Consider the following 6,000-nt stretch of genomic DNA (forward strand, 5'->3'; position numbering starts at 1 on the left):
ACGGAAGTTACAGTAAGCCAAGATTGCGCCACTGCACTCCAGCCTGGGCGACAGAGCGAGACTCCATCTCAAAAAAAAAAAAAAAAAGTAGTTGCCTCTGAGGAGGGTACTGGGAGCTGGAATAATACTTGCACTTGCTATTTAACACCTTGATATACTTTTCAACATTTTGCTTTACCATATGCATGTATGACATGAATGCTTTTAAGAGAGAAAACAATTTCCAGGCTTGCAAAATTGGCTGTATCATTAGCAATACTTCCAGCACCAACATACAGAAACCTTTGCTAACAGTGGCTTGCATCATGACATTTATTATTTGTTTAAAAAGCGATCTAGAGGTAGGCAGAAGGAACTGACCGCAGTTGGTTTGGTGGCTTGATGACATCAGCGAGGGCTCAGTGTCTTTCCGTCTGTCTGCTCTGCCACCCAAAGTTCTGGCTATGGTCTCCACTCAAGAGCCCAGCATAGCTGCTGCTCCAGGAACCAGTTTTCTCACAGCCACATCCAATATCAGGAAGGAAATTACAGAAACAAAAAGGACTAACTTCCACATGATGATCACCTTTTATTTTCTTTTCCAGAAGCCACCATCCCTTTTCCTCCTCCAACCCATTCAGCTCCTTTCCATCCTTCTCTTGCATTTCATTGGCCAGAATTAGGTCACTTCCTCACCTCTGAACCAATCACAGGGAATTTAGTTCACCTGAACTGAAGCAGCTCCATCATATCTCATCATCTGGAGCTGAGCGCATTGCTCACTGAACAAAATTGGTGTTCTTGACAAAGAAGAGGAGGGCAGTGACTGTTAGGCAGGCAGTAACAGGGTGTACCAGGCAGACTGACTGACCAATTAACTAACCAGCTACCATCCCTTATGAGGAGACAACTGCCAGCCTGTCTGTCAGAATCACAAAGCCTGGAATCTCTCACGACGAAAGGCTATACAATCCTGAGGCCTTGGTCCTATGTTAATTTAGTGTGGATTAATCTTTTGAGATAAGACCATTAGTCATGTGTTGGCATCTGCAAATTAACACTGGCTTCTGGGGAGAAACTCTTCAGGAAGAAAAAAATCACATCACTGCATTTTTCAAAGGTTCAACATCAAAAATTTATCAAGTGTAAAAACCCAGTCTGTTTGATACTGTTAAAATGATTAATATTATAAATAGCTGCTAGAAACAAGGCACATCTGACAACCTGAAGGACTGGAAGGAGAGGCAAACATTTTCCTTTCTGAATTAGGAAAAGCTAGTTTCATTATTTGCATTTTCCCTCATATCATTTTATGTCTCTGGCACATTTCCTAAATCAAAGACTTTCCTGGGGATTCTATTTATCAGACAGGTATTGGCTTGCTTTTCAGCAGCCCTATCATAGTTGATTTACTAATATATCCTATAGACTTTCTGCACAGTTTATACAGCTAAGGCCCATAGTGCCTCGTCATTCCCACCTATTTTAAGTGAAAGGCTTAATGCATAGATGGGATCTGACATATGAGTGCTGCTCACTAGTTCGCTGTCAGAGCAGGTCTGAATAATTAGCACCGGCAGCTCTTCTGTGCAGATATTAATATCTTATATCATAAATGTCAAGCATAGCACAAAGATGCAACCGGAAAACCTCCGAAAGCAAGGGAGCCCATAAATCATGGAGGTTTCACTCTATTTTTCTTCCATTTTACTATCAGAAAATAAACCCAGGTGGTGAGATTTAAAATCCTGCGCACCTCCTATTTATTACTTAGCACGGGGCCTTTCCTGAAGCTGGACCCTGGAGGAAGGGCTGAGGGGGAGGAGACATCTCAGCTGGGGAGGGATAATGATGGGGTGAGGGGAAGTGGAAAACAAAACCTCACAACAGCACTCCCAGACAGTTCTGTGCCCTTTACCCATGGCACCATGTTGCATGCATTTGGGACTTAGAGGCCGATACAGGCTATTGGAGAGGCTGCTTATAAAAAATCCTAACCCCCTGCCCTACTCAGTGAAGAAAATAATCTCTTTTATGGTTGCAAGTGTGAGAATGAATGTTGTAATGTAATGTTCATAAATTTTAATGAACTTGCTGAGGATGCCAGGCCCTAAACACCCCATTCAAATTAGGCCCTAGCTCTGCAGCCAGCAAGGCCACATGCAACCTTACCCCCAACAACAGGTATCACTCGTTGTTTTTTTTTTTTTTTTTTGAGACTCTGTCACCAGGGCTGGAGTGCAGTGGCGTGATCTCGGCTCATTGCAACCTCTGCCTCCTGGGTTCAAGCGATTCTCCTGCCTCAGCCTCCCGAGTAGCTGAGACTACAGGCACCCGCCATTATGCCCAGCTAATTTTTTGTATTTTTAGTAGAGACAGGGTTTCACCGTGTTGGCCGGGCTGCTCTTGAACTCCTGACCTCGTGATTCATCCACCTCGGCCTCCCAAAGTGCTGGGATTACAGGCATGAGCCACCGCGCCCGGCCATCTAACTGCAATTTAATTTAATTTAGAGATGAGGAAGTCTGTACTTCTGAAAAAAACAAAAGCAAAAAACTATTCTATCCTAAGAACTTTGGCACTTTGGCTATTAGAAGGTTCCCACTATATTTAGCTGAGGTCAGTTTCTCTGAAACTCCTTTTGATTCATCCTACTTGCCCTTCTAGGGACCCATGGGGGAAATTCTACCTTTTTTTTTTTTTTTTTTGAGACAGGATCTCACTCTGTCTCCCAGGCTGGAGTGCAGTGGTGCAATTAGGGCTCACTGCAGCCTCAACCTCCTAAGTTCAATCAATCCTCCCAACTCAGGCTCCTAAGGAACTGAGACTACAAGTGGGTGCCACCACACCTGGCTAATTTTTTTAAATTTTGGGTTTGAGGGTACATGTGAAGGTTTGTTACATAGATGAACATGTGCCACAGGGGTCTGTTGTACATATTATTACATCACCTAGTTATTAAGCTCAGTACCCAATAGTTATCTTTTCTGCTCCTCTCCCTCCTCCCACCCTTCTCCCTCCGATAGGCCTCAGTGTCTGTCGTTTCCTTCTTTGTGTGCATAAGTTCTGATAATGCAGCTCCCACTTATAAGTGAGAACATGCAGTATTTGATTTTCCTTTCCTGCGTTAGTTTGCTAAGGATGGTAGCCTCCAGCTCCATCCATGTTCCCACAAAAGACATGATCTCATTCTTTTTTATGGCTGCATAATATTCCATGGTATATATGTATCACATTTTCTTTGTTCAGTCTGTCATTGACAGGCCTTTAGGTTGATTCCATGTCTTTGCTATGGTGAAAGTGCTGCAGTGAACATTTGCATGCATGTGTCTTTATGCTAAAATGTGTTATGTGCCTCTGGGTATATGCCCAGAGGATTTGCTGGGTCAAATGGTAGTTCTGCTTTTAGCTCTTTGAGGAATCGCCATACTGCTTTCCACAATGGTTGAACTAATGTACACTCCCACTAACAGTGTATAAGGGTTCCCTTTTCTCCACAACCTTGCCAGTGCCAGCATCTGTTGTTTTTGTTTTGTTTTTTAACTTTTTATTAATAGCCATTCTGACTAGTGTGAGATGGTATCTCATTATAGTTTTGATTTGCATTACCCTAATGATCAGTGATATTGAGCTTTTTAATATGCTTTTTGGCCACATGCATGTCATCTTTTGAGAAGTGTCTCATGTCCTTTGTCCAGTTTTTAATGAGGCTGTTTTCCTCTTGTACATTTAAGTTCCTTATATGATATTAGACCTTTGTCAGATGCATAGTTTGCAAATATTTTCTCCCATTCTGTAGGTTGTCTGTGCACTCTGATAATAGTTTCTTTTGCTGTGCAGAAGCTCTTTAGTTTAAGCAGGTCCCATTTGGCAATTTTTGCTCTTGTCATGATTGCCTTTAGTGTTTTTGTCTTGAAATCTTTGCCTGTTTCTAGGTCCAGGATGGTATTGCCTAGGTTGTCTTCCAGGTTTTTATAGTTTTGGGTTCTACATTTAAGTCTAATCCTTCTTGAGTTGATTTTTGCATGTGCTGTAAGGAAGGGGTTCAGTTTCAATCTTTTGCATATGGAAAGCCAGTTATCCCTGCACCATTTATAAAACACGGAATCGTTTCCCATTGCTTTTGTCGGCTTTGTCAAAAATCAGATGGTTGTAGATGTGTGGCCTTATTTCTGGGCTCTCTATTCTGTTCCACTGGTCTATGTGCCTGTTTTTGTACCAGTACCATGCTGTTTTGGTTACTGTAGCCTTGTAGTATAGTTTGAAGTTAGGTAATGTGGTGTCTCCAGCTTTGTTCTTTTGGCTTAGGATTGTCTTGGCTATTCAGGCTCTTTTTTGGTTCCATATAAATTTTAAAATAATTTTTTTTTCTAGTTCTGTGATGAATATTTTGGTAGTTTGATAGGAATAGCATTTAATCTGTAAATTGCTTTAGGCAGTATGGCCATTTTATTGACACTGATTCTTCCTATCCGTGAGCATGGGATGTTTTTTTCGTTTGCTTGTGCCTTCTCTGAGTTTTTTGAGGAGTGTTTTGTAATTCTCATTGTAGAGATCTTTGATCTCCCTGGTTGGGTGTATTCCTAGGTATTTTATGTGTGGCAACTGTGAATGGGATTTTGATTTCTGATTTCTCTCAGTTTGGTTGTTGTTGGTGTATAGGAATGCTTGTGATTTCTGTACATTGATTTTGTATCCTGTAACTTTGCTGAAGTTGCTTATCAGCTGAAGGAGCTTTTGGGTCAAGACTATGGGGTTTTCTAGATATAGAATCATGCCATCTGCAAACAGAGTGACTTCCTCTCTTCCTATTTGAATACACTTTATTTCTTTCTCTTGCCTGATTGTTCCGGCTAGGATTTTCAATACTATGTTGAATAGGATTAGGGAGAGAGGGCATCCTTGTCTTGTGCCAGTTTTCAAGGGGAATGCTTCCAGCTTTTGCCCATTCATTACAATGTTGGCTGTAGGTTTGTCATAGATGGCTCTTATTATTTTAAGGCATGTTCCTTCAATACCTAGTTTATTGAGAGTTTTTAACATGAAGAGATGTTGAATTTTATCAAAAGTCTTTTTTTTTTTTTTTGGAGACGGAGTTTCACTCTTGTTGCCCAGGCTGGAGTGCAATGGCATGATCTCGGCTCACCACAACCTACGCCTCCTGGGTTCAAGTGATTCTCCTGCCTCAGCCTCCCGAGTAGCTGGCATTACAGGCATGCACCACCACACCCGGCTGATTTTTTTGTATTTTTAGTAGAGACGGGGTTTCTCCATGTTGGTCAGGCTAGCCTCGAAAAAGTCTTTTTTATATCTGTTGAGATAATCATATGGTATTTGTATTTAGTTCTGTTTATGTGATGAATCACATTAATTAATTTTCATATGTTGAGCCATCCCAGGGATGAAGCCTACTTGATCATGGTGGATTAGCTTTTTGATGTGCTGCTGGATTTTGTTTGCCAGTATTTTAGTATATGTGCTGCCAAAGTGAGCAGGTTTGCCAGTATTTTGTTGAGGATTTTTGCGTCAATGTTCATCAGGGATATTGGTCTGAAGTTTTCTTTTTTTGTTGTGTCTATGCCAGGTTTTGGTATCAAGATGATGCTGACCTCATAGAATGAGTTGGGTAGAAGTCTCTCCTCCTCAATTTTTTGGAATAGTTTCTATAGGAATGGTATCAGCTCTTCTTTGTACATCTGGTAGAATTCAGCTGTGAATCCATCAGGTCCTGGGCTGTTGTTGGTGGTGGTGGTAAGCTATTTATTACTGATTCAATTTTGGAGCTTGTTACTGGTCTGTTCAGGGAATCAACTTCTTTCTGGCTCAGTCTTAGGAGGGTTAATTTCCGCATCTATCTTCTTTTTCTTCTTGAATTCCTTTGTGTAGTTGAAAAATGCTGCCTTAAACCTCCTGCACAGCAAGCTGACCAACCCTAGGCTCTTTCAGCATTCATCATGTGACAAAATTTCAGTCCCTCCTCTCAAGAAAGCACTGACAACCTGGCCCTCTTAAAGTAAATTC

Source organism: Homo sapiens, chromosome 5 (genome assembly GCF_000001405.40).
Source record: "Homo sapiens chromosome 5, GRCh38.p14 Primary Assembly".
In the NCBI taxonomy this organism is placed as follows: Eukaryota; Metazoa; Chordata; class Mammalia; order Primates; family Hominidae; genus Homo; species Homo sapiens.